We start from the raw sequence: 24941 nt of genomic DNA, 5'->3' as shown, positions 1-24941 counted from the left end.
CATCACTTCCTTCTCCCCTTAACGTGGCAGTATTTGTTGCTGGAAACAAGGATATGGTCAAAGAATACATTGCTAGTCACAGCATTAAATTTCAACAAGGTGATTTGATTTAAGCAAGAAGGGCTAATTAACACGGGTTTGGGGTGAGGTGGAGAGATATGAAGCTTGTTGGCTTTTAAATTCACTTCTTTGTTAAATTCACTTTTAAGTTAAATTCCCTGCATTTAAGAGTTAGTTAAGTTAAACATAACAACTTAGAAATATTCATAGGACTCCTTTCCCATTAAGAATTCATTTCATTTAACACTACAGTTCTTACCGTAGTGGAACCATGTTACCATTCCATTGGATAGTTACCTCTCTCTGCATTGTGGTCAGTTGAGTTCTCTTACGATGACCCCCTGTACCTGTCCACCCAGAAAACTTTGGTACAGATGAAATCAAAGCCCAGGCTCTCTGTCTGGATGGCAGAAATAAATCCAGTTACAATAGAAAAGTAGAGGTGAATGGAATAAGCCACTTATGTCCTGTTTTTGTCTCTTCTACCAATGAAAGGATAACCAAACCTTCAATGAGACTTTCCATCAGTCAATCATCGGGTCAGATGAGGAAAACTAGTAACATGCAGCTGTGAGTCAGAAAAAGAAACACATACCTGGGAAGCATTATCAATCTTGTCTTAACAACCTTCTGGAGAACATTGGTACAAACACTTGTTACTATCTGCCTGAAAACCAAACATTTGAAAATTCTGGAACCAGGTTTCTAAAGTCCAGTTGGGTGAGCCTTGGGAAATATGAGCTTGGGTTCTCAACAACAGATCACCAGGGCTACTGAGCAAAACCCAGTGCCACAATAAACCTCCTGTCAATAGGGTGGCATTCACCCTGTTTACCTGAGGTTGGGTGATTATGAGAAGCCTTTGGAGGCACTGTCATCACCAATTGTTAATCGAGATTCTTTCTTCCTTAGAAAAATGAGTTATTGGCCGGGCATGGTGGCTCACGCCTGTAATCCCAGCACTTTGGGAGGCCAAGGAGAGCAGATCACTTGAGGTTAGGAGTTTGTGACCAGCCTGGCCAATATAGTGAAACCCCATCTCTACTAAAAAATACAAAAAAATTAGCCGGGCATAGTGGCGGCACCTGTAGGCCCAGCTACTTTGGAGGCTGGGGCAAAAGAATTGCTTGAACCTGGGAGGCGGAGGTTGCAGTGAGCCGAGATCGTGCCACTGCACTCCAGCCTGGGCGACACGGCGAGACTCTGTCAAAAAAAATATTGTATATATATATATATATAAAAATTAGTCAAGCTTGGTGGCGTACACCTGTAGTCCCAGCTACTAGGGAGGCTGAGGCACGAGAATTGCTTGAACCCAGGAGGCAGAGGTTGTGGTGAGCAGAAATTGCGCCACTGCACTCCAGCCTGGGCGACAGAGTGAGACTGTCTAAAAAGAAAAAAGGACGGGTGCGGTGGCTCACACCTGTAATCCTAGCACTTTGGGAGGCCAAGACAGGTGGATCACGAAGTCAGGAGTTCAAGACCAGCCTGACCAACATGGTGAAACCTTGTCTCTACTAAAAATACGAAAAAATTAGCTGGGCATGGTGGCGGGTGCCAGTAATCCCAGCTACTCGGGAGGCTGAGGCAGGAGAATCGCTTGAACCCAGGAGGCTGAGGTTGCAGTGAGCTGAGATTGCGCCACTGCACTCCAGCCTGGGCGACAGAGCAAAACGAAAAAAAGAAAAAAAAAAAAAAGAAAAATGAGTTATTCAGAGAAGATTCCAGGACACTTTATCTAATCACAGTAATAATGGCTATAGTAAATACCCAGGTGATCATCTAACCTCACCCTGCCTTCTGGGTGCATTGCAGAATTAAGGAGTGGGAAGTCACTCCAGAACTCTCTGCCTGTCCATCTAAAGTCAATCTGATTTCTCTACATTTTCCTTTTCTCCAATCATCTTACACCTAAGGCAAATACAGACACTGTGATCCTCTAATGAAATAGCTGAGAACATTAGTAAGGGTTAAAGACAGCAAATATTCCTACAGCCTCTACAGTTTCCAAGGCAAGCTCAGAGAAGGACAGGAGACCATCCTATGAAGACCCAATAACTCCGAGGAAACCTTTCTTCTCTGTCTCTTTAAGAAACAGCTAGTTCTCTCTGTCAGTGGATACTGTTTTCCCCCTTTTGATACACTATTTCCCCCATTAGATCTTGTTACTATTTACCTTGGTTATTGTATTAGTCTACGTGGTAATGGTGTTTTGAATAGACTGTCAAAGGAAAAATGAAGTGGGTCTTTTCAAAGTCACTTTGCCATGCAATTCAGGAAATTTGTAATTTAGAAAGCTCAACCAGGAAAAGTTTTTATCTAACAGCTATTTCTTCATAAACTTAAAAAAGAAGTATTTTTCTCTAATAGAACCACAGCTTTTCTTTAAAAAGACAAAGAAGTTTTAATTTTGGTTTATTTTAGGAATATATCCATTTCTGAATCTACGTAAGTGTAATAATTAAAAGCATTATGAAAATAAAAGTTACCTATTAATTGTGGGTTTCTCTGGAAAATGTAAATTCAAACCTGCTCTTATTGACCTCAATATGTCATTTTAAATGTGAAATTAAAATTGTGTCTCATCAAAAACTAAACTTATCACAGATTATCCAAACACAAATGCACACAGTTTACATTTACCAACATCAGTTTCAAACATCCCAATAGTATGCTTTAGAAAGTGTTTTAGCATCTTAAGCACTTATGTTCCATATTTTAAGGACTACTTCAGAATCTAACAGATTTTTTAAATCCTCTAAATCACCCCAAATACTATAAATGGTAATTTTAAATAAAAAAGATTAAACATCCCGTTGTATGCAGCTCTCAAACCAATAAGCCAGATAACGCTAGAAATCGGCATAAAAGCTCTCCATCCACCACCTGCCACGACAACGTGCACACTGGATCTGCCAAGAGGGCCCCGAGCATTTCAGGGGTGGGTGGGATGCCTGACTGCTCCGCTTGCTCTATAGCCCCCAAATAAGTCTAAAGCCAGCTGGCGTTCTTTTCAAACACATACCCACCATCGCCAGCTTCCCAGCCCCCAACCACTGTGCATTTTGGGAGAAAAACAAGGATTTAACTTAAATTTTAGAAAAACTAAAGTTTAGTTTTATGAAGAAAGTTATTTCAGTGCATGCCATATACTTTTTGGCATATAAAGGAAACCACGTGCACATAATGTAAGAAGCAGAAAGGAGTAAGTTGAGGGGAAGATGGCCTGTGGATGAAGTGGCAGCAGGTAGTGACTGCACCGTCCCCCTGGGGCATGTGTGGTGTATTAAAAGGCCGAAGAGGTCTCCTCTGGGGGAGATCATGAGACGGATATAGGATCCAGACTGGTTTTTTTTTTAATGGTTCTAGGGTACAAAAAAAAATGGTAGAAAAAAAAGTTTTACGTTGCAGACAGTGAGTAAGAGTGACTCAATTAGACATTCTCTGCTTCTCTCTCAGAAGAGAGGGGCAGCAGGAGTGAGGCTTTATGGGGAAATAACCTGGGTTTCCACGCAGCCCATAAGCAGCTCGTGGGACTCTGAGCAACCCACTAACTTCTCTAAGATTATTTTGAGTTCCAAAATGAGTGTTTAGTCATGAGCTTTTAAACCTTCTGCTCCAAGGAAAGTACTTACAAAGGACTGAGGTTTCGATAGTGGTTAAAAGCAGCCACTGGCTTTCTGTAAGTGGATCCTGCGTGGACGCGGAACAAAACAGATTGACCAATTTAGGCAGGACTTGGTTTATTTCTAATCAGGCAACACTAACTACACAGTGGCAGACGGTCTGCTAGAGCCTGGTCCATATCTCAGAGCAAAATTGCAGATAAGTAAGACATTTGGGGTTATGACTTCCATCTGCAATGTCCAAGGAGAAACGTGAAAGTATCAACCAAATCCACATTTATAGTCCTCAGTAAGAGCAACCACAATCATCATACTAGAAAGGAATGACTTAAGGTATTAGTCTCCATTCACTATGACAAGAAGCACCTCTAATCTACAAGCAATTTAACGTAATACTGATGAAATATTAGAAGTATACACTGGATCTCTTCCATAAATAATTTTTCATTGAAGAAGTTAGTATCGCTCTCTCTAAATTAATACTGAAGATGTCAATATGTGAAAAGGCTACCCATTTTATTCAAGAGCCCCCCTTCCCCTTTTTTCCCCCCCTGAAGAGTCCATATTACCTAAGATAAAATGGCCAAGGCTTAGGAGAAGTACAGTGTAGCTCCATCTACACGGATTGAAATCCTAGGAAACTTTTTAAAAGACATAACCACTATATCTAAAATCCCCTTCCTTACAGTGAACACCTGACAGATAGAGTAAAATATATGACTTCCCTCCAGAATCCGTAAGATACAAAAACCTGTTTAAGGAAGCTGTTAAACAACAATTTACCCAAAATGAGAGTGAATTCACCTTTGCTCAACAACAAAGTGTCCAGAAGGACAAAAGCAAATCCTTGGGCATATCCCTGAAGTAAATGTCTGAAATGTTAAGACCAGTTCCAGAATTGATCCACCCCAAATAGCTGAAATTCCAAAGACTTTTTTGTTTTGTTGTTCAGAGTTCCTGATTTCTAAGGTCCCCACGGGGATAATTCCTTCCAAAGATTTGTCAATAGATCACAACATCTTTACATTCCTACATAATACAACTTTCAGTTTTACTCCAGGTATGGAGGCGGTGGGCATCTGATGCCTGTTTGGCAGGGGCAGGGTGGAGGTAGTGGGAATAATATGGAATGTAAAATACCTAAGTTGGCTTATCAACCTTAGTACTAATGACTTAGACTTCTTTCAAATGCTAATGATACATCTGATTCAAGACACAACAAAGCTAAGGATTTTCAGGAATCTGAATGAGTTACATCTACACCCAAGGTCATACAGCTAATCAGGGTGAGTCCAGGTCTCAACATATCAAAGCAGTAATCCTGTCTCTGAAGTTCCAAGGACTTTCATTTTTTTCCTTCAATTAAAAAAAGTACAAATTCAGTATGGAGGCTGGGTTGTATTAACCTACCCACTTTTGAAACTTAGTCCACATGAACTACTGACGTATTTAGCGTATTCTTAACCACACCTGGAGGAGTTTTCTAAACCGCAGACTTCTATATTCTACCTACTGAGCAAGGCACCACCATTGGCCTGTCTTGCAATAATGGTCTCTTTGAAACAAACATATGAGTAGCTATAGATGAAGGATGCAGTAAAGAAAACTGATATTCACACTCCTTTAAAAAGATGCACTGAATATAAGGAGGCATTGTCCTAAGTGCATGACAATTTTGTTTAATACTTACAGTAACCATGTATCACAATTCCCATTTTCTAAATAAAATTGAGGCACAGAGAAGGTAAGCAATTTACCAAAGATCATACAACCAGTAAATGGCTGAGAGAAGATTCGAACCTGGTGCTGTGGCTCCAAAGTCCATCCCCACCATGCCTAACCCTCCAAATCATGCTTTCTAAATATTATACTCCCTACACAATGTACAAATTGCTGAAATATCTACTTCAAACAGAAGTTCAAAACACAAACCAATGAAGTCCAGTCCTGCCTCCTTCAAAACGAACCAAAAAAAAAAAGAGTTTATAAAATGCTTAAGTGATAAGGGGAAAATATTGTGTAAATGCTTTGCTTTCTCCACTGCACACCATTTTCCTATATTATCCTGAAGTGTTTCCTTATGCCCTGGGCCCCTGTGGTGCTTGCAGATGGTTTCTATTTCTAAATCTCTAAAGCTTTCAGGAATGTATTCCTAGACTTCCAAGCCTGCTCAATCACCACCTCTCAGCACTGACGGCCTTGTTGAGTCAAAAAATCTCAGCTTTCCCTATTTTTGTTCAAAAATGTACTGAGTATGGAAAGTCTGTAAAACATTAAGAAATAATTTTTTATGTTATTTAAATCCTTAGGGTGCAGAAGAAAAACACACTATTTCATTCTCTCTGCCTCCCATTTCATCCCATTTCTGACTTCTAGAGGGAAAAGGAGAATGCTGTTTTAATCACACTGCTTCCTTCTTAGGCTTGTGGCTCCTCAAAATTACAATTGAACTATATTCTGGTGAGAAATGGACTCTGTATGGTTGATTTTTACTCTTGAGAGCATTTACCAGACATCTGTTCTCATGTGACACTTACCTAGACGTCTGCCTCAAAGGCTGTGGCTGGAAAGGCGTTTCACAAAAGCCTTCCTTTGGCAGGCTGGGCACTGCTGTGGTTTCAAGACTACCCTTGTATTTTCTCAAGAGAACTTAAATGCCACTTCTTAAGTTACATAAGTATAAGTATAAGCAGACCTGGGGAATTCAAGGAAGGTGGCCATCTTGATATCATGAAATCCACTTTCAGGCTAATTCCCATATAATACAGAATTTCAAATATCTACAAACACAAGGACAGAAAATAGGAACCATGATATTTGGTCCCCTTTAGGATTGAGACATCCTACTTCTAACTTAATACTCCTGGGGTCCCCCGGGCTTCATTAATCAAGCTGGAACAAAAATACAGCTGAATATACTGAAATTAGTTAGTGATGTCAATTACACTGAAAGTGTTGATTGACACTTTCAGTTGTTGAAAACACTTTCAGTGTAATTGATATCACTAATTGAGACTGAGAGGTTGAGGAGCCCTTCAGAGCCAGCCATTCCACACTTAAGTCATTTTTAGATATCATATGTAGTTCTTATTACAACCCCAAAATAGGAATTATTAGATTCTTCAAATCCAGTCTTTATACGATTTCCTGAGAAACCACTCCAAAAACATTACCCCAAAACACATAAAGAGTACTTTATCTTTCAAAATATTCTATTTGCAACCTCACAGTTCCTTCCTAATAGTTGTCCACTATAATTAAGCCAAAGAAAAAAGCTCATGTTCACTGGCTTATCTAATGTCTTAAGAGATACAATAAATTTAAAGGATTAGATATAATTAGAGAAAATTTGATATAACAATAAAGATTCCATGCCCATTTTCAGAGAATATTCAAGTTGTCTATATATCTACTCAGTGTTTTTCCCCAGCAGTTACCTGGTTTCCAGGGTACCAGCTAAGACCATCATTAAGAAGAGAAAGAAGATGTGAAATAAGTAGGTACAAACTACATTAAGATAAAGGTCTGGACAAATCAACGCATTTCTTTCAACAGAATCAGATACCAAGGGCAATTGCTTCTGACAAATAATAGTTCACAGGTCTTCTTTGGATATTTAAAAAAAAAAAAAAAAAAAACATTTACAAGAGATCACAAAAATAAGACAGAACAATTTTATAAATCTTTTATTTAGTAGGCATTGTTTATTCCAGCTTGTAAAGTTCAGTAGTGCTTGATGTAAGTTTTTAAGCCTGTGGATGAACGTCTTAGCTTAATGCTCCAGGTACACTGGGATAAATGGGAAGTGAGCTTATTAATAGACTTGCTAGGCTTTCCCTTTCAAACACATATTTAGAAAGACAGAAATTGATTATGTTCCAAAGACCAGTATCAAAGCACTATAAAATAATATTCTATACCAACCAGTTTGATTTCAAGTTATTCATAAGATTTTAGAGTGTGTATAAACAAGTATGTGTATGTGTACATGTGTATATACATGACACCTTGTTTTTAAAAATGGGTGTGGATTTTGCAATTTTTACAAAACTACCGTAAATAACACAGACATCCATTTTAGAGTGATCAAATCTCCTCCAAATGAAAGTTTCTCTCTGATGTCATACTCCGCTTGACCATGAAATGAAAATGGCTTCAAACTGTTCTTAATTGTGAAATTAAAAAATAAAGAGACAGAACGCATCACCTCTTGCACCATAAGATCCAGGAGGATTATGGATCCTAGTAAATCCAGGATTATGAAGAGGCCTCCAAGGATAGACAGCCTAAATGTTTAGGGCTCTCCCATTGGACCTTTAAACTAGGGTGATGTGGGGAGATAAGGTTCTCTTCTACACGTCACAATGGCAGACTGAGTACCAGTTAAAGAACAGAAATGCCACTGTCATTGTTGGTGCTTTTTATCAAAAGGCTCAATTTCTCTATCTGCTAAAGCTTGGCAAAAAGCTAGCTGGCTAAAAGAATAAGCGAACTGATAGAAATATTTTAATTCTGTAATAATTTTTAAAAATCGATTTAAATATTATCTCACTCAAAAACCTAAGATTTACTGAATTGGGGACATGCTGGTATATATTTGCTATTGAATTTGTTCTATATTCCAACATACCCCTCGCCAAAAACACAACCTAAAGGAAAAGAAAAAAGAAAGAACGTAGCTCTCTAAATCATAATAACCTACTCAATACTAAGGAGTACAGAGGGTACAATCCATGCCACCTAGAAGACAGCTAGACAGCCACCGTAGCCAGTAGATGGGCCCTGATATATTAAACGTGGTCAATATCAAGTTCTCATCAAAAAGGACAAAAGAGATGATTTCCATTGCTGCCACGCGTTATTCCACCAGGATGTACTGACAGTACTTAAGCATAAAACCCTATTAAACATAACCTACCACTGCAAAAAATATCATATTTGGCTCCTATTTAATATACACAATAAGTCCCTTTTTGTGTGGTAAAAACAAACTACCTGAAAATAAATCTAAATGGCCATAACCTGGAAAATAGATCATCTGAAAGAAAATCAGCCATCAAAGGTATATCATGGCTTCTGTTAGGTAATGGGGAAAAAGGAATCATTGCGAACCTAATCAACCAGCTTCACCCCAACGACTGCCTTCTTTCTGCCCCCATCAGATTTCCATCTGGACGCCATTCGCCTTTTGGAATCCTTAATGAAACAATGAGTTCGGAGTCCAGAGAAAACAGAAAGGGTTAGGATCCCGACAAGGTAATCGTTTTCTTCTCTCCGGTTTTTGTAGGCCATCTTGTTCGAATAAACGCCAAGATGTCTTAATTTTCCCCAGGTGGTGTCACTGGAGGCAACGCCCACTGACAGTTTTGAGGCCACCTTCCCTTAATCAAATGACCAAAAAAGATCTGTCAAACGGTTAATTGATGCAAATTAAGAAAGCCACCCTCACTGCAGTAAGATATGTTACAGGAAAAAGAACAATGAACAGTACTAGAAAGGAAAATAACAGTGTGCGGGTACAAAATATTTAATCCACAATTTGCCTTCATCCTCATCAAGGCAAATCTTAATTTTGGTCAATTGAAATCAGCAAGAAAGCAAAAGATGAGAGACAGCCTGGAAAAGAAGAAACACACACACAGGCGGGAAAAACTGTCATTGGTGTCCAAGGGTTTCCCGCAACATTTAGGGCAAACGCCTTTGTTCCTCGGCTCGGGAGGGGAGTGGGTGGCTGGATGATGGAGATGGGATGGGGCTGCCGGGCCCTCCACACCCTGCTCTCCGGCGCATGCGCGAGGCCAAGACAAAGGAATAGGTAATTACAGTCCCGATTCATTCATTTTGCCTGCAGTATACTGGGGGTCTGTTGGCCCGGGCTGTAATCCCGGGAGGTGGGGGTGGGGGGTCGGTCCACAACCCTATAGCAGAAGGCCATTTCGACGCTAGTGTTGGGTTTTAGCCCGCCCCACAGTGCGAGTGGCCGCGGGGGAGACAGAGGTGTTGTCAACCTGTACAAGGTCCTAAAAAATGCACCCATGTGTGCTGTGCTAATTTCAGCAGAGTGAGAATTACATGGGCAAGGGCTGTCCACCGAGTTCGTTTCAAGGCGGAAATGTCTCTGGGGACGCAGATAAGGAGCCTGGCCAAGCGTTCGATGAATATTCATGAAAAGAATGCGGTTTGCAGCCGCGCATTGTGCGTGCGATCGGATCCAGGATTCCGCAATTTTTATTTTTCTGGAAATGGAGGGGGGACGGGGGCGGGGGGAGCAGGAACCGGGCGCCGGGTTTCAGCTTTAGCGCTTTGGGCAAAAGCTGCTCAACCCCAACCCTACGCTCCCAGCGGGGCTGAGCCCAGTTAGGGCCGCGCGCTGTCAGGTTCAAGCCCACACCCCCCGGGCCCGGGCCGGGGCCGGGACCCAGGGCGGAGGCGCCTGGCGCATTCTTGGAACCAAAGGCTCGAAAAAACAAACTGCTCCGAGGCAGCCCACGGGTTCGTAGGAAGGCAATTCCGCCACTGACGAGGCTGGGGCTCCGATCTGCTCGGGAGGTGCTTCTGAGTGCACGTCGCCGTGTGAACCTCGTATTCCTTGGCCCCAGAACCAAGATCCAGGAGTCCCATGGGTCGAGAAAACCCGTTTGCCAAAGCAAAAAGCCACCCACTTCCTTCTGATCGGGCCAGATTCCCCATCTTCTTTCTCCCCGGACTCCCGCCCCACCCCACCCCCACCCTCCATCTTTGGCTGCTGCGCCCCTCGCCCCGAGCGCTTTCTCCCAGGCTGGTAAGGGCTCCGATGACGGAAGCGCTCCCTTCAGCCCACAGAACCGTCTCCCCGGGACTCAACGCACTGAGGGGGTTTCGCATTCGGCAATTCCTCCCGTCACCCGCAGCTCCTCTCCCCGACAGCCCCCTCCCCCCAGCTCCGTTTACCAACCTCGCCGCCCCCCTCACCCCTCCACCATGCGAGCGGCTGAAGCCTCCCACTTCTGGGCCCCCCATCACCCGGGATCCCCGAAGTGCGACGGAGCCCTCACAGAGGGACCCCAGGCCCTTGCCGTCCAATCCGGGCCCACATCCCTGCTGCCCGCTGCATGAAGGGAGAGCCCGGGGGCTGCGGGGCGGGGCGCGGCGCGGTGGGGGACGGAGGCCCCCGGGTCCGCGGCGGCGCGGGGCCACCGGGCGCGCCTCCTTACCGGCTCTGGGTGCCTATGCAGCCCCTGAGTTAGCGCGGTGCCGCCGAGAGGCCGGGGTCGCTGGCGTCGTCTGGCTGGTGCCTGGCCGCTGGCGGAGGCTCTCTCCCGGCTCGACGGCGGAGCCCGGAGCGAGGAGCCAGTTGGAGCGCTGCCGCCGCCGTCGTCGCCGCTGCCGCTACTGCCGCCGCCGCCGCCGCTGCAGCCTCTGCATTTCTCGCGCTCGCTCCCCCTCCCCTTCCTGCCCAGTGCCCTCCCCCCGCGCGTCCGCCCGCCCAGCCTCCCTCCTCCCGCGCTCCCCGCCCGCCTCTCTCCCCTCCCTCCAGCCCGGCGCCCCGCCCGTCTCCCCTCCACCCCCTCCAGCTCCATCTCCCCACCCCCTGCACTCCCTCTGCTCCCCTCCCCTCCTCCGGCGCAGACCCTCCCCTCTCCCCTCCAGCCTGGACACGCCCGCCTCCCCTTGACTCCCCCCAGCTCTGGGCCCCCACCTCCCCTCCCCTCCAGCACAGTCACCCCCATTTCTCTCCTATCCGCCATCCTGGTTCCTCCCTTCCCCCCACCTCCCAACTCTGTGCCCCGCCAACGTTTCCTAAATGCCCTCTATTCAGATCCCCCCTCCGCCTCCCCTCTCCTCTCCTCCATTCCTGCGTCCCCCTTCCCCCGCCGCGCCGCCTGGGCTGTCCGTGGACTTCTCCCACTCTCTCACTCTCTCACTCACTCTCTCTCTCTCTCTCTCTCTCTCACTCTCTCTCTCTCTCTCCCCCTCATTTATTTGGAACCGTTGGATAAGAAGTGCTCGGGCTCTCGCTCAGACTTAGGGAGCTGCCTCGAGGTGATGAATGACACCCCCTGGCACCAGCTACCCTTCTCAGACCCCAGTCCAGCCCGCTCCCGACGTCGACTACGATTCCGCTACCTCGGCTGGCAGCGAGGTTGGGGTGAGCCCCAGCTGCAGGCGCGTCTGGGCTGCGCCGCTGCAAACGAGTTGCGCACCTTGGGCGGCTCCGCACCTGCACCCGCACCCGCGGGGCTCAGCCCCGAAGGCTGCAGCTTCGGGGGAGGCGCGGTCGCCGAGGTCCAGCTGGTGGGGCGAGAGACGTCGCCCCTCGGAGGATGCTCTCGGAACTTGGGAGAGGAAGGAGGGAAGAGAAGAGGGGAAAGGGGCCGTCGATGTTTTTGATGTCTGTGCTTTAATGGAGGCCACCAATATTGAGAAGACGGGGTTGGCCGAGGCAGCCCGCACGCTGCTGCTTGCGAGCGCTCGAGTCAAAGCTAGGGCCAACCGCGGCTTGTCCGGGTGCCCTAAGGGGGCGGACACTTGGTTTAGCACCGGGACACAGAATAGCCACCGGGGTAGGAAGATGCGTTCACTTTGCTTACCTGTTGGCAAGAGGGACATACAAAAATAACGTAACGTGACATCGTTGACAACGGTAGCTCTTTGATTACACAAAAGCCAATTTTACCTTCCCGCAAAAGCCAGTTGACGCCTTTGGAACTTTTATTTGCGGCATTTTGGCGCCCTCTGGCTGTGTTTGGATCGCTTTCATGCTCGCCTGCGTCCCAGCCAAGAAAAAATCGATGGAGCTGCAGGTTGTCCTCAGGATGGTTCTGCCCTCAGGACCTGGGCGTGAATTCAGGGACAGGGTGGCCCTCCAGAACCGGAGTGACAAACTGTAACCATACTTAGGGAGGCAGACGTCAAAGGCAAGTACATCTGTATTCAACTGGGTAAAGGTAAGTGCATTTTCACTTAACAGGAAAATTAACTTATCGTAACTTTAACGTACATATTTGAATTAAGCAAAGTGGCAATATTTACTCAACTGCACTAGCGATTTTGCAGTGGAAACACTTGACGACCCTACTGTACACATTTACAGGTCATAGGAGGCAGCACCAAATTAGATTAATGCATGCCAGCTGGAAATGTTCAAATTTAAACCAAAGGTAAGAAAAAAGCGGGAACTGTTTGTTTTTTCCTGTTTCTCTTTCTGCCATTTAAAGTGAAATAAAAAGTTAGTGTAGTAAAATACCAGGGAAGCAAATTACAAATGAGGTTGCTTCTAAAGCATTTTATTCTTTTGAATATTTATTTCCCTCACACCAGTACACCATCTATAAAGCTAAATGGAGGATGCAGGTTTTCCCACCTCCTTTTGGGGCCAGATATTTCTTTGTTGTGGAAGGCTGTCCTATGCACTGTAGGATGTCTGGCATTCATTGCTGGCCTCTACTAGCAGCCAGTACCACCCTCCACACACACCACCAGCACCAGCACCAGTTGTGACAACCAAAAATGTCCCCAGATATCGCCAAATGTCTCCTGGGAGGCAAAATCACTCCAGGCTGAAAACCACTGAGCTACATTTTCTTTCAACCTCTATGAGCAAGTCTCTAGGTTTTTACCCTATCGAATTAGATGAATATTTGCAATGTTCTGCTCAAGACATTTCCTGAGTTTGTTAGAGGAGCTGCCTACTTGTTCATTTAGCATTCAGGGTTTTTATCCTTGTGATCTTCCAGGCATGTAAATCATCTAAAAATTAGCAAATACATTTCCTCATTGTATTTGCAGTCTAAGCCTGTGGGTGTTATCTTCCTTCTCTATTCTCTTTTTCCAATTTTTCCAAAAAAAAAAGACAACATAAAAATTAATGTTCAGTACCTTCAGTGCTTCCAGCTAAATTTTCATGATGGAGAAAACAAACCTTTCAAAGGTGTGATTGGAATACAGATCACGGGTTACCATAGAAACCGGAGGCAAAAGCTTACACCAACAAGGAGAACTGCAGGTCTCCTTAATTTTGTCTTCCATCAGATTTAGTTGTTCTCTTAAAACATTTTTTTAAATTTTTTTAAAGGAGGGTGAGAATTCATTTTCAATGAGATAATGATGCAACTGACTGATAGTGCTATTAATCTTTAGAAGCTTTTACAGAATTTGTAGGTTTGCAGCAAATGGTTGCCAAAATGTTACCTCTCAATGTAACAATATTACTATATAAAATCCAATTTGGCGATGTTTTTAGTCTAATTTTTAGTTGTTCATCTAATATCATACTTTTTAATGTGTATGCTCTTTAAAACATTTTTTTAAACTGATGCTTAGGGAATAAATGAATAAACCTTTAAAGTTCTGAATTTTAGAAAACTGTTAACATTAACTATTGTGAATGTGTCTGTTTACATTATAGACTAATGATCTTGAGAACAAATATTAAGGGTGTAATTTATGATAAATTTAATTAGCTTTCACCATTATGCTCATGAAAAAAAGACTGTTTTACTCTCCAAATGGAATGAATGCATTTGTTTTTGACAAACAAAGCTGGATTTCATCGGTTATAAACTGAATTCCATTGTCATTTTTAATTGCCTGCATAACTTGCTCCAGGGAAGCATAACCTGCATTATGAAAATCATTATCCAAAAGATAAATTATTCGTGATTACTAATTTTTTTCTAAAAGATTTGTCTTTGCTTGCAATATAATGGTCTCATTGTCATTTAAATTACTAGTCAGTTTACAAAAATTTCCATGTGCCTTCAGCTTTTCAAATCATATCTATTGTGTCAACTAAGACACCTACAATAGATAATTATACAGACCTCATCAAGCCTCAAAACCTCACTCTTATCTTCCCTCTCCCCACCTCCCACATCACCCACCAAGGCCTAGCGTCTTTCTCAGTTCCCCATCCTTTCCTCTTAAATAGTAAAAAGAGGATTAAAATCTCAAATAAAAGATGTAGAACAAGAATGAAGCAGAAGCATGGTGACAGTAGTGTCACCCGAGTGTGACTCTAGCCACCTTTGCTTGACATCTTTCTGGATAGTTCCTGTTCAAGGCCACTGCATTAACCCAAACCCTCAGAAACCCATTTAGAGAATTTGAAAGTAAATTCAGCTCTACTGGTAAGTTTTCCGTGGAGGACCAACTTGCTGCAATTTGTTTACAAAATCTTATCTGCAAATTGCAAGCAAAAGGCCAGACAGTATTACAGATGAAAGTGTACGGCTTTTTTTCTCTTAAATATATTTATAATTTTTTAACCAAAGGAAAATATTGAAATCTATATATTCGTCTGTCTTCCTTCCTACCCCAACCCTACCCAACCCCACGAGAGTCATTCTGGGCCAAAATGTCAATAATGGCAAGGTTGAGAAACCCAGGTTTAAATGAGCATCAAGTTGCTGCCCAGTTGGAAAATACCTGATCTTTTTTTTTTTTTTTTTTCTAAGAGCGCATGCTGCAGAGGGAAGCTGCCTCTTCCTGTGGCTTAAGGTATCTTCAGCAGGGCAAAAGGCTTGGAGGCACAAAATTTAATGGAGAAATTTTAACAAGGGCCTGCAATGCACAATGTGCGCTAAGCCCTTCATTAACCACCATTCTCCACTATAACACAAATTGAGGCAATAGTTTCAAGAGGTATGTCAAAGATTAAAAGCAATGATTTTGAATTGCATTCCCTGTTACTGCACACCAAGTAACTGGAAGAAAATGACTTAACCTTGCTTCCCTATTTAATTTCCTCTTCATGTACTGTAAAAGGAGAGCTGGGAAACCTGAGCAAACATTTGTTTACTACGAAGCATCGGAGTTGAAATGGAGGGGACAGCCTGGCCTTGGTGCTACATTAGGAACATTTGCCCAAGATGAGAGGCAGATAAAAACAAGCCTGTCTACCTGAATAGCTCTCATTCCCAACCCCGTTCTCCCTTTCATAGACTGTAATTCTGCCACCTATCCTTTCAGTCCCAAAGTACATTTCTAGTCACCAGCATTTTCTTTTTTTTTTTTTTTTTTTTTTTTTGGACACAGAGTCTCACTCTGTTGCCGAGGCTGGAGTGCAGTGGTGCGATCTTGGCTCACTGCAACCTCCCAGGTTCAAGAGATTCTCATGCCTCAGCCTCCCAAGTAGCTGGGACTACAGGCGCATGCTACCATACCCAGCTAATTTTTTTTTTTTTTAAGTAGAGATGGGGTTTCACCGTGTTAGCCAGGATGGTCTCGACCTCCTGACCTCGTGATCCGCCCGCCTCGGCCTCCCAAAGTGCTGGGATTACAGGCGTGAGCCACCGCGCCCGGCCCAGCATTTTCTATTAAGAAAATACATAAAATTGTCAGAGGCATTTAAACCCTTGCAACTCCATCTTGAATAGGGGCTGGGCAAAGTAAGGCTGAGACCTACTGGGCTGCGTTCCCAGGAGATTAAGCATTCCAAGTCACAGGATAAGATACAGCAAGGTCTTGGAGACCTTGCTGATAAAACAGGTTGTGGTATAGAAGCTGGCCAAAGCCCACCAAAACCAAGATGACAACGAAAGTGACCTCTGATTGTCCTCATTGCTCCCACCAGTGCCATGACCGTTTACAAATGCCATGGCAACATCAGGAAGTTACCCTATATGGTCAAAAAAGGGGAAAAACCCTCAGTTCTGGGACTTGCCCACATTTTTCCCAGAAAAGTCATGAATAATCCACCTCTTGTTTTAAAAATATGATCAAAAAATAACTATAAGTATCCTCAGCCAAGTAGCCCATGCCGCTGCTCTGCCTACGGAGTACTCATCTTTATTTCTTTACTTTCTTAATAAACTTGCTTTCAATGTACTATATGGACTCACCCTGAATTCTTTCTTGCATGAGATCCAAGAATCCTCCCTTGGGGTCTGGATTGGGACCCTTTCCTGTAACAAACCAATGGTAAAAAGGTGATAGCCTCCTAAGCAGCGAGGGCTTTTTCCATGCAGTGCCTACCTGTTCCTACAGACACCAGGGAGGGGATTATGGCATAGCAAGCTCAGTCTTGGGAAAACAGTCCTCGATTCCTTGGCTACCCTTCCCCCATTGTCACCCGTTAAACCAGTCAGAGAACAAGTTACCTTAAAATGGCACAAAGAATGTTGTAGAACAATTAATCACATGGCTCCACCTTTGAATAATGGAGACTGTAGAGGTCCTAGTGTTAAATAGTGTGTGCTGCGTCCACTCCTCAGCACCACCTGCTTCTACTCTCAGATCAGCCCTTACCATAATTAGAATATTTCTACTTTAACTTCAGTGCAAGGAATGGTGCCCGAAATAAATTGGTAAGTGCAAAAGCAAATTGCTAACCAGAATGCAAAGGATGCACATTTTTACTATAAGTAAATACATTAAGGGATGCTGCTTTGCCTACTTCTCTAAAGTGCAAATACGGACCAAATTCCAGTGTCTACCTAACTCTGCTTTTTGATAAACTCCCTAAGACTCCCAAACAGATACCATAACCCTCTTGCATTTCAAGCCTAGGAATCTCCTACTCAGATAAGTTCAACTCAGTGTCAGAATGATTTCTTTCCACAGGAAGAAAGTAAGTGATAAGAAATAAGAGAGCCGGGTTTGAACAAACAAGCAAGACCCAACTACTGTGTCAGTAGTTTTAAGGGAAACGGAAGGGCATGTATGAAAATGTGGTAGATGAACACATGATGTAGCAAGGTACTTGACGCGACAAGGAAATCATGGTCACCGTCTTGAAGCCTCAGTGTTCCTGGAAAAACTTGGACAGAAAAAGAAAAGCAATTTCATGGTAATTAAGGTATTAGTTTTATCAAAATCAAACACAAGGGAAGTTGTCAAAAACAACTTCTTAGATGCCTCTAGCAAGTTCCTGAACAGTATGTAGAGACTGTCCCATTGATGTTATAAACAAAAACATGGGAAAATACCCCAGACTGCTAAGAGTGGATCTCGCCGGGCACTGGTGTCATTTCAGAGGTGGGATAGAGGACAGCTTAGCTTTCATTCCATGTTATAACATTTTATGTTGAACAAATGTTTTTGCAATGACCATTTGTTACTTTGGTAATCAGAATATACAATTTTAGGAGTTGCTCAGGATTCCTGTTCAGGGCTAAGAAATCCCTGCCTTCTTATCAACTTTCCCTGGGCTGTTTTTTGGGCTTTGTGTTTGTTTGTTTGTTTTGTCTTGTTTTGTTTTGAGATGGAGTCTCACTCTAACTCAGGCTGGAGTGCAATGGCACTATCTTGGCTCACCGCAACCTCCGCCTCCCTGGTTAAACAATTCTCCTGCCTCAGCCTCCTGAGTAGCTGGGATTACAGGCACTCACCACCACACCCGGCTAATATTTGTGTTTTTAGTAGAGACTGGGTTTCGTTATATTGGCCAGGCTGGTCTCAAACTCCTGACCTCAGGTGATCCGCCTGCCTCGGCCTCTCAAACTGCTAGGATTACGGGCGTGAGCCACCAAGCCCGGCCCCCCTGGACTCTTTTTAACACCATACATCTGCTTTCTGCGTCTTTCTGCTTCTTCATCTTACAATGAGTGACGCCATGTGAGTCAAGAATGGGGCCAAAACCCTAGCACTTCTCCTTTGACTTCGTTGCATTATTTCCACTCATTCTGACCTCAGAGCAAATAGAAAGATATTCCACCCCTGGTGCAGGTCTCCAGTTCACTTCTAGTGCAAAGGAAACTCCTCTCTAGCTTTATTCATGTTGAGGTCATTGATCAAATGACTAGCGCTTACAGGAAAAGAACGTTTTAGCCTACAGTTAGCCCCTACCTTCTCCATTCATATATTAACCTTTTTGTATTGATGAGCCCATAACACTAATACAAAGTTCTGTTTTTCATATGACATTGTTTTTTGTGTTCTTCTCAGTATCTCTGAATGATCTTCTATGACACAGCATTGCTGCTGAATCAGGGCTATGCTGATTTTTATGACTTTTGCTCTTCAATAAAATTAAACAAATTCAGTGCAACCAAGAGCCTCAACACCAAGGCATCCTAAAACTTTTTTTTTTTTTTTGGTAGAAATGGGGTCTCACTTTATTGCACAGGATGGTCTCAAACTCCTGGCTTCAAGCAACCCCCCCGCCTCAGCCTCCCAAGGTGCTGAGATTGCAGGCTTGAGCCACCATGCCTGACCATTACAACTTTTTTTTATTTTTTTGAGACAAAGTCTCTCTCTCTGTCGCCAGGCTGGAGTGCAGTGGCGCGATCTCGGCTCACTGCAACCTCCATCTCCTGGGTTCACGCCATTCTCCTGCCTCAGCCTCCCAAGTAGCTGGGATTATAGGCATCTACCACCACACCTGGCTAATTTTTTTATTTTTAGTAGAGATGGGGTTTCACCATGTTGGTCAGGCTGGTCTCGAACTCCTGACCTCAGGTGATCCACCTGCCTCCGCCTCCCAAAGTGCTGGAATTACAGGCGTGAGCCACCATGCCCAGCCTAAATTTCTTAAAGTCAATTTTTTCATGTATATTTTTACTAGAGATAAATAAATTTTCTCGTCAGGCCACATATTATATTGATGCGGTTTGGCTTTGTGTCCCCATCGAAATGTCATCTTGAATTGTAATCCCCAGGTGTTGAGGGAGGGACATGGTGGGAGGTGACTGAATCATGGGGCGGTTTCCCCCATGCTGTTCTTGTGTTAGTGAGTGAGTTCTCATGCGATCTGATGGTTTTATAAGTGTTTGGTAGTTCCTCTCTTGCTCTCTCTCTCTCCACTGCTGCCATGGAAGACGTGCCTGCTTCCCCTTCCATCATGATAATACGTTTCCTGAGGCCTCCCCAGCCATGCAGTACTGTGAGTCAATTAAACCTCTTTTTATAAATTACCCAGTCTCAGGGAAGTTCTTTATAGCAGTGTGAAAATGAACTAATAAATATATCAACCTCCAAAGGGCAGAGACCATCATATAATTCTTCCAAAGTGTTTTTCTAAGAAGGTAAAAATAATGTTGTCCAGACAGGCAACTTTGTGCTGGAGTTGACAGTGAGATTCTCCCTCCATGGGCTGGAGGGTGGAGGGAAGGAGCTGGAAGCTTGTCCTTGGTCCGTGTCAGGATTTCCACTGGGGAAGGAAGGTCTCTTCAAAACATACACATCTCAGTTTCTGATTCTGCCTCCCTTCTTGCGTCTCAAGCAGAGCTTTTCAACCTGGGGACCCCAGTCTCCTGGGGGATTTTGGACAGATATTAGGGAGTTCTTGCCCCCCTCCACCCAGATTTCTTTCACTAAATGCCAGACATTTTGGGTTGAACTTTAAACAAATACTGAAGAACAAAAATTGATTTTTCAAGTATTGTGTTGGCAGAAAAACAATAAGAAATATTTGTATTTTAAGGGCCTCCTCCTCTTCCTCCTCCAGCTTCTGAGTTTAAGACCTTGGTTTATATTTGGCCACCATTTTTCTTTCTTTCTTTCTTTCTTTCTTTTTTTTTTTTTTTTTTTTTTTTTTGAGACAGAGTCTCTCTCTCTCTCTCTCTGTCACCCAGGCTGGAGTGCAGTGGTGCGATCTTGGCTCACTGCAACCTCCACCTCCTGCGTTCAAGCAATTCTTCTGCCTCAGCCTCCCAAGTAGCTGGGACTACAGGCATCACTATGCCTGGCTAATTTTTGTATTTTCAGTAGAGACAGGGTTTCGCCATGTTGGCCAGACTGGTCACAAACCCCTGACCTCAGGTGATCCACCCCCATCAGCCTCCTAAAGTGCTGGAATTACAGGCATGAACCACAGCATTATGGCCACCATTTCTGCCTGGAAGGGCACGGTGGGACTCTAACAATGGACACCCCACGTCTTGTTAGTAGCTATTTCAAATCTTCTGAAGGATGAGAAGACTTAAAATCTATTCTCTTAGCAATTTTCAAGTATGCAATATATTGTTACTAGTTGTAGTCACTATATGAGGCCATGTCTATGTTAAATAGTTTCATGTAGTCATTTCACATTTTCTGTATACATCTATCAAAACATCATGTCGTATACATCATAAATATATATAATTTTACTTTTCAATTTTAAAAATTCATTAATAATAAAATTAAAAATCCTATTAAAAAAACCTGTTCAAGGGCCTGCAAATTGCTGGGGGGAAGCGCAAGAGGCAGGAAGCACAGAGAAAGGAAGAGGCAACCTGGGCCAGGAGGAGGGCAGTTGTTCCCCAGCAACCCCCTGGATCCACACAGAGGCACCCTAAGTGGCTCCTGGGGAACACCGGGAGGAGATCCGAACCGGAAGACCAGGGACCTGACACCTGCACCTGACCTCAGGTGATCCACCCACCTTGGCCTCCCAAAGTGCTGGGATTACAGGTATGAGCCACCACGCCGGACCCTGACTTTTTTTTTTTTTTTTTTTTTTTTTTTTGAGACAGAGTCTCGCTCTGTAGCCCAGGCTGGAGTGCAGTGGCGTGATCTCAGCTCACTGCAACCTCCACCTCCCAGGTTGTAGCAATTCTCTTGCCTCAGCCTCCAGAGCTCCTTCTTGGATGGGGATGCTGAAGACCCCACCTGAGGGTGGGGAAGTGGAATTAGCCTAAAGGACATATGTAACTACTGGTATAAAAAATGCCACCCACTGCATAAACTTGTGTTTGTCACTATATTTTTTTTTCTTTTGGTGGGTTGGCGGGGGACAGAGCCTCACTCTGTTGCCCAGGCTGGAGTGCAGTGGTGCAATCTTGGCTCACTGCAGTCTCCGCCTCCTGGGTTTCAGCGACCCTCCTGCCTCAGCCTCTGGAGCAGCTGGGATTACAGGCGCCCACCACCACGCCCGGCTGATTTTTTTGTATTGTTAGTAGAGACGGGGTTTCGCTGTGTTGGCCAGGCTGGTCTCAAACTCTTGACCTCCGGTGATCCACTCACCTCAGCTTCCCAAAGTGCTGGGATTACAGGTGTGAGCCACCAGGCCCAGCCATGTCATTATATTTCTTAATGTTGTCATTAACTGATAATCTCAAAAGTACTGACTTTTTTTTTTTGGGCAGTCTCTCTCTCTGTTGCCCAGGTTGGAGTGCAGTTGCTCGATCTTGTCTCACTGCAACCTCCACCTCCTAGGTTCAATCGAGTCTCATGCCTCAGTCTCCCAAGTAACTGGAATCATTTTTAGTAGAGACACGGTTTCACCATGTTGGCCAGGCTGGTCTCAAACTCCTGACCTCAGGTGATCCACCCGCCTTGGCCTCCCAAAGTGCTGGGATTACAGGTGTGAGCTGCCACCACGCCCGACCCTAACTTTTTTTTTTTTTTTTTTCAGACGGAGTCTTGCTCTGTCGCCCAGGCTGGAGTGCAGTGATGGATCTCGGCTCACTGCAACTTCTGCCTCCCGGGTTCTAGCAATTCTCCTGCCTCAGCCTCCCGAGTAGCTGGGATTACAGGCGTCTGCCACCACGCCCAGCTAATTTTTTGTATTTTAGTAGAGACGGGGTTTCACTGTGTTGCCCAGGCTGGTCTCAAACTCCTCAGGTGATCCTCCTGCCTTGGGCTCCCAAAGTGCTGGGATTACAGGCATGAGCCACGGCACCTGGCCAACATATTTTTTTAAGAACAGTTGAAAACTAAGTTTAAGCACAGAGTCCATGCCTTCAGAAATACAGAGTCTGATAGAGATGCTGATAATCTAGAGCAGAAGTCAGCAAAATTTTTCATAAAGGGTCAAATAGTGAATATATTTTGCTTTGAAAGCCATGAGATTTCTGTTGACACTACCCACCACTGCCACTGTATCAGGATGCAGCCACAGACAATGTGTCAACAAATGGACATGGCTATGTTCCAATAAAACTTTATTTACATAACACCTAGCAGGTCACTCTTGACACAAGGGAAGCAGTTTGCCCATTCCTGATCTGTATCATTAATAATTTGCTTCTGCTAAAATCACTCCTAAACTATAATAATGTGAGTTTGAAGGTTCCTTTCAAATAACTCAAATTGCTTTAATATGTATTATCTTATCTACCTTAGGAAATTATCTGGGAGCAACAAATAAATGGAGAAAAAAGAGTTCTCTAATTTTTTAACATGTCATATACAGAATTTCATGTGAATATTTCCACATTCTCAAATCATTATTTTTTCTTTTCACTAAGGTTAACTCTGTACATTCTTTCATGTATTTAAATACATTTCATTGTTTTTTTCATCCACTCAAAACATTTATGACATAAGGTGATGACATTTGAATTTAATCCCAATTTCCATTAGGAGAGGCTTATACTCCCTTCTGAGGTTTATTTTATTTTAATCTCATGAATTTCACAATATCCTAGTAATTGAAATATAGCTTGAAATATCTGCCAATGTAATCTGGAATTATCTCCTTGTAGAGAAGCAAAATGGGGGGAAGAAAGCAAGTAATGTCAGTCAACTAAAAGGCATAGAGATAAAAGGAAATGAAATAGGAAGCAGAATAAATGCCAGGTTTAGTGCACGACATTTTTCTGAATGGGACATTTTTTAACATTCTACAATATAATACTTTTACCTCATGATATAGGATAGCAGATGAATCCTGGCTAAATGAATAGATGCAGATGTATTTTCAGTTATCTTAGATTAATTCCTGAAGACTGCAGTTTAATAATTCTGAGTCTGAATTTCATTTTTATTATATCACTACATGTTGAGAACCCTTCAAAAGTTTGTCTAGTTCAATTCTAAAATTCAACTGAGGCTGGGCACAGTGGCTCATGCCTGTAATCTCAGCACTTTGGGAGACCGAGGCGGGCAGATCACCTGAGGTCAGGAGATCGAGACCAGCCTGATCAACATGGTGATACCCTGTCTGTACTAAAAATACAAAAATTAGCCAGGCGTGGTAGTGCATACCTGTAGTCCCAGCTACTTGAGAGGCTGAGGCAGGAGAATCACTGGAATCCAGGGGCAGAAGTTGCAGTGAGCAGAGATCGCACCACTGCACTGAAGCCTGGGTGACAGAGCGAGATTCCATCTCAAAAAAAATTAAATTAAATTAAATTCAGTTGAAACAACAATGTTTTGAAAAGCTTTTTAAAACACTCTTTAAAATTTAGAACTGAAAGAAACCATGTCCAAAAATACACAGCCAAGTCCCCTCCCACATTCGGGGTAGGTATTGATAACCAATCAATATCAATCAATCAAAGCATTCTTTCTGTGGCTAAAAAGTATTTCGTAATACTATGCCCCAGATTCTACTGCCAGTTAATCTGATCTCACCCCAAAGCTGATATGTCATTGTCATCTGCACTGTAGTCCAATTTCTTCATGTTATAAATTGAAAATCTAAGACATATTGAGGTTAAAGGATCTTCTCAGTGCCAAAGATGCTGCTCCAGTCAGTTCAACGCCTTTCTGCTTCTGTTTTTGCAATACCAGATTGCCCCTACACCAGGAGGGGATGGGGTGGCCACTATGGCAACATGAATTTTAAACATATGCAAACTAAACATAATTTGAGTCACCTACTAAACACTGGAAACGATTCCTGAGTGCTGGGAATTCAGCAACAAACAGGGCAGACGCAAGGCTTGCAGGCATAAGAGGTAAAAAGAATAAGGTCACTCCAGATAGTGCTTCCTCTCAGGAGGGGCCGCTTTCTAATGAACGCTTGTGGAAGGTGTGTAGGAGGAGGAGAGCTGAGCCATGAGAGCCAGCCCTGCGATCATGAGGAGAGGATGGTAGTGGGTACAGGGTGCCGCTAGTTGAGAGCCACAAAGGCTTGCTGGAAGGAGGCAAGGGCAGCAGTCTGCTGTGTTCAGTGCTGAGAGATAGAGTGGGGTGAGGACCCAGGGGCGCTTTGGGGATGGGAGTGGTGTGTGGCGCTGGCTGGACAGGTTCCAGGGGAGTGGTGGTAACAGATGCCCTGGGCTAAGGTGAGTGGAGGGGAATGGAGACAGTGAACACAGACGAAACTTTCCAGAAGTTTTATTGATTGTGACAGGAAGCAGAGAAATGCAGCATTAGCTAGAGAGAATTTTGGATTAAGGAAAAGGTTTTGTAATGAAGGCTTTTGAGAGCGTGTGTATATGCTGATAGGTATACAAGGGCCAGGGAGCTGAATGTTGGAGGAAGAGGAGCCAGATACAGATGCAAAGTCCTTGAGTCCTTGAGTCCTTGAAAAGGCAAGGTGTGTTTGGGTGCAGGGAATAGAAACAGGAAAGGGATGGGCTTTATAGGAACAGGGGTATTTTGCCTACCTACAGAATGAAGAATGATAGGGAAGAGGGGCTCCCATGTAGGTAGGCTATTAGGTTAAGAGGCTGATGAAGGTGG

At 43.8% G+C, this 24941-nt stretch overlaps 1 protein-coding gene and 1 long non-coding RNA gene across 3 annotated transcripts in view, besides 4 other annotated features; one reads left to right on the top strand and one right to left on the bottom strand.

Annotated features, from left to right (window-relative positions):
- BASP1 (brain abundant membrane attached signal protein 1) overlaps positions 1 to 11867 on the bottom strand; it is a 60012-nt gene extending 48145 nt beyond the window's left edge. The window contains exon 1 of one of the 2 annotated variants that reach the window (NM_001271606.2): positions 11793 to 11867. The gene's annotated coding sequence lies outside the window, so the exon portion shown is untranslated. Of the gene's footprint in view, positions 1 to 10879; positions 11060 to 11792 lie in introns of those variants that run through there. The other variant, NM_006317.5, reaches the window with a different exon arrangement.
- Positions 610 to 1110: an enhancer, noted in NCBI's record as "H3K4me1 hESC enhancer chr5:17227689-17228189 (GRCh37/hg19 assembly coordinates)". NCBI's record gives its function as "activates a minimal SCP1, AML or CMV promoter by ChIP-STARR-seq in primed H9 embryonic stem cells {active_cell/tissue: H9 hESC(primed)}" and the evidence as "EXISTENCE:reporter gene assay evidence [ECO:0000049][PMID:30033119]".
- Positions 9159 to 9939: an enhancer, noted in NCBI's record as "H3K27ac hESC enhancer chr5:17218860-17219640 (GRCh37/hg19 assembly coordinates)". NCBI's record gives its function as "activates a minimal SCP1, AML or CMV promoter by ChIP-STARR-seq in primed H9 embryonic stem cells {active_cell/tissue: H9 hESC(primed)}" and the evidence as "EXISTENCE:reporter gene assay evidence [ECO:0000049][PMID:30033119]".
- Positions 9974 to 10293: a silencer, noted in NCBI's record as "silent region_15950". NCBI's record gives its function as "represses an Ori minimal core promoter by ATAC-STARR-seq in GM12878 lymphoblastoid cells {active_cell/tissue: GM12878}" and the evidence as "EXISTENCE:reporter gene assay evidence [ECO:0000049][PMID:35858748]".
- Positions 10784 to 11263: a silencer, noted in NCBI's record as "silent region_15949". NCBI's record gives its function as "represses an Ori minimal core promoter by ATAC-STARR-seq in GM12878 lymphoblastoid cells {active_cell/tissue: GM12878}" and the evidence as "EXISTENCE:reporter gene assay evidence [ECO:0000049][PMID:35858748]".
- BASP1-AS1 (BASP1 antisense RNA 1) overlaps positions 11268 to 24941 on the top strand; it is an 87395-nt gene continuing 73721 nt past the window's right edge. The window contains exon 1 of the long non-coding RNA NR_027253.1: positions 11268 to 12613. This is a non-coding gene — a long non-coding RNA (BASP1 antisense RNA 1). The remainder of the gene's footprint in view (positions 12614 to 24941) is intronic.

The sequence above is a fragment of the Homo sapiens genome, chromosome 5, assembly GCF_000001405.40.
Source record: "Homo sapiens chromosome 5, GRCh38.p14 Primary Assembly".
Taxonomy (NCBI): Eukaryota; Metazoa; Chordata; class Mammalia; order Primates; family Hominidae; genus Homo; species Homo sapiens.
Note: the sequence above shows the minus strand (reverse complement) of the source record. Positions and strands in the feature narration are given on the sequence as shown.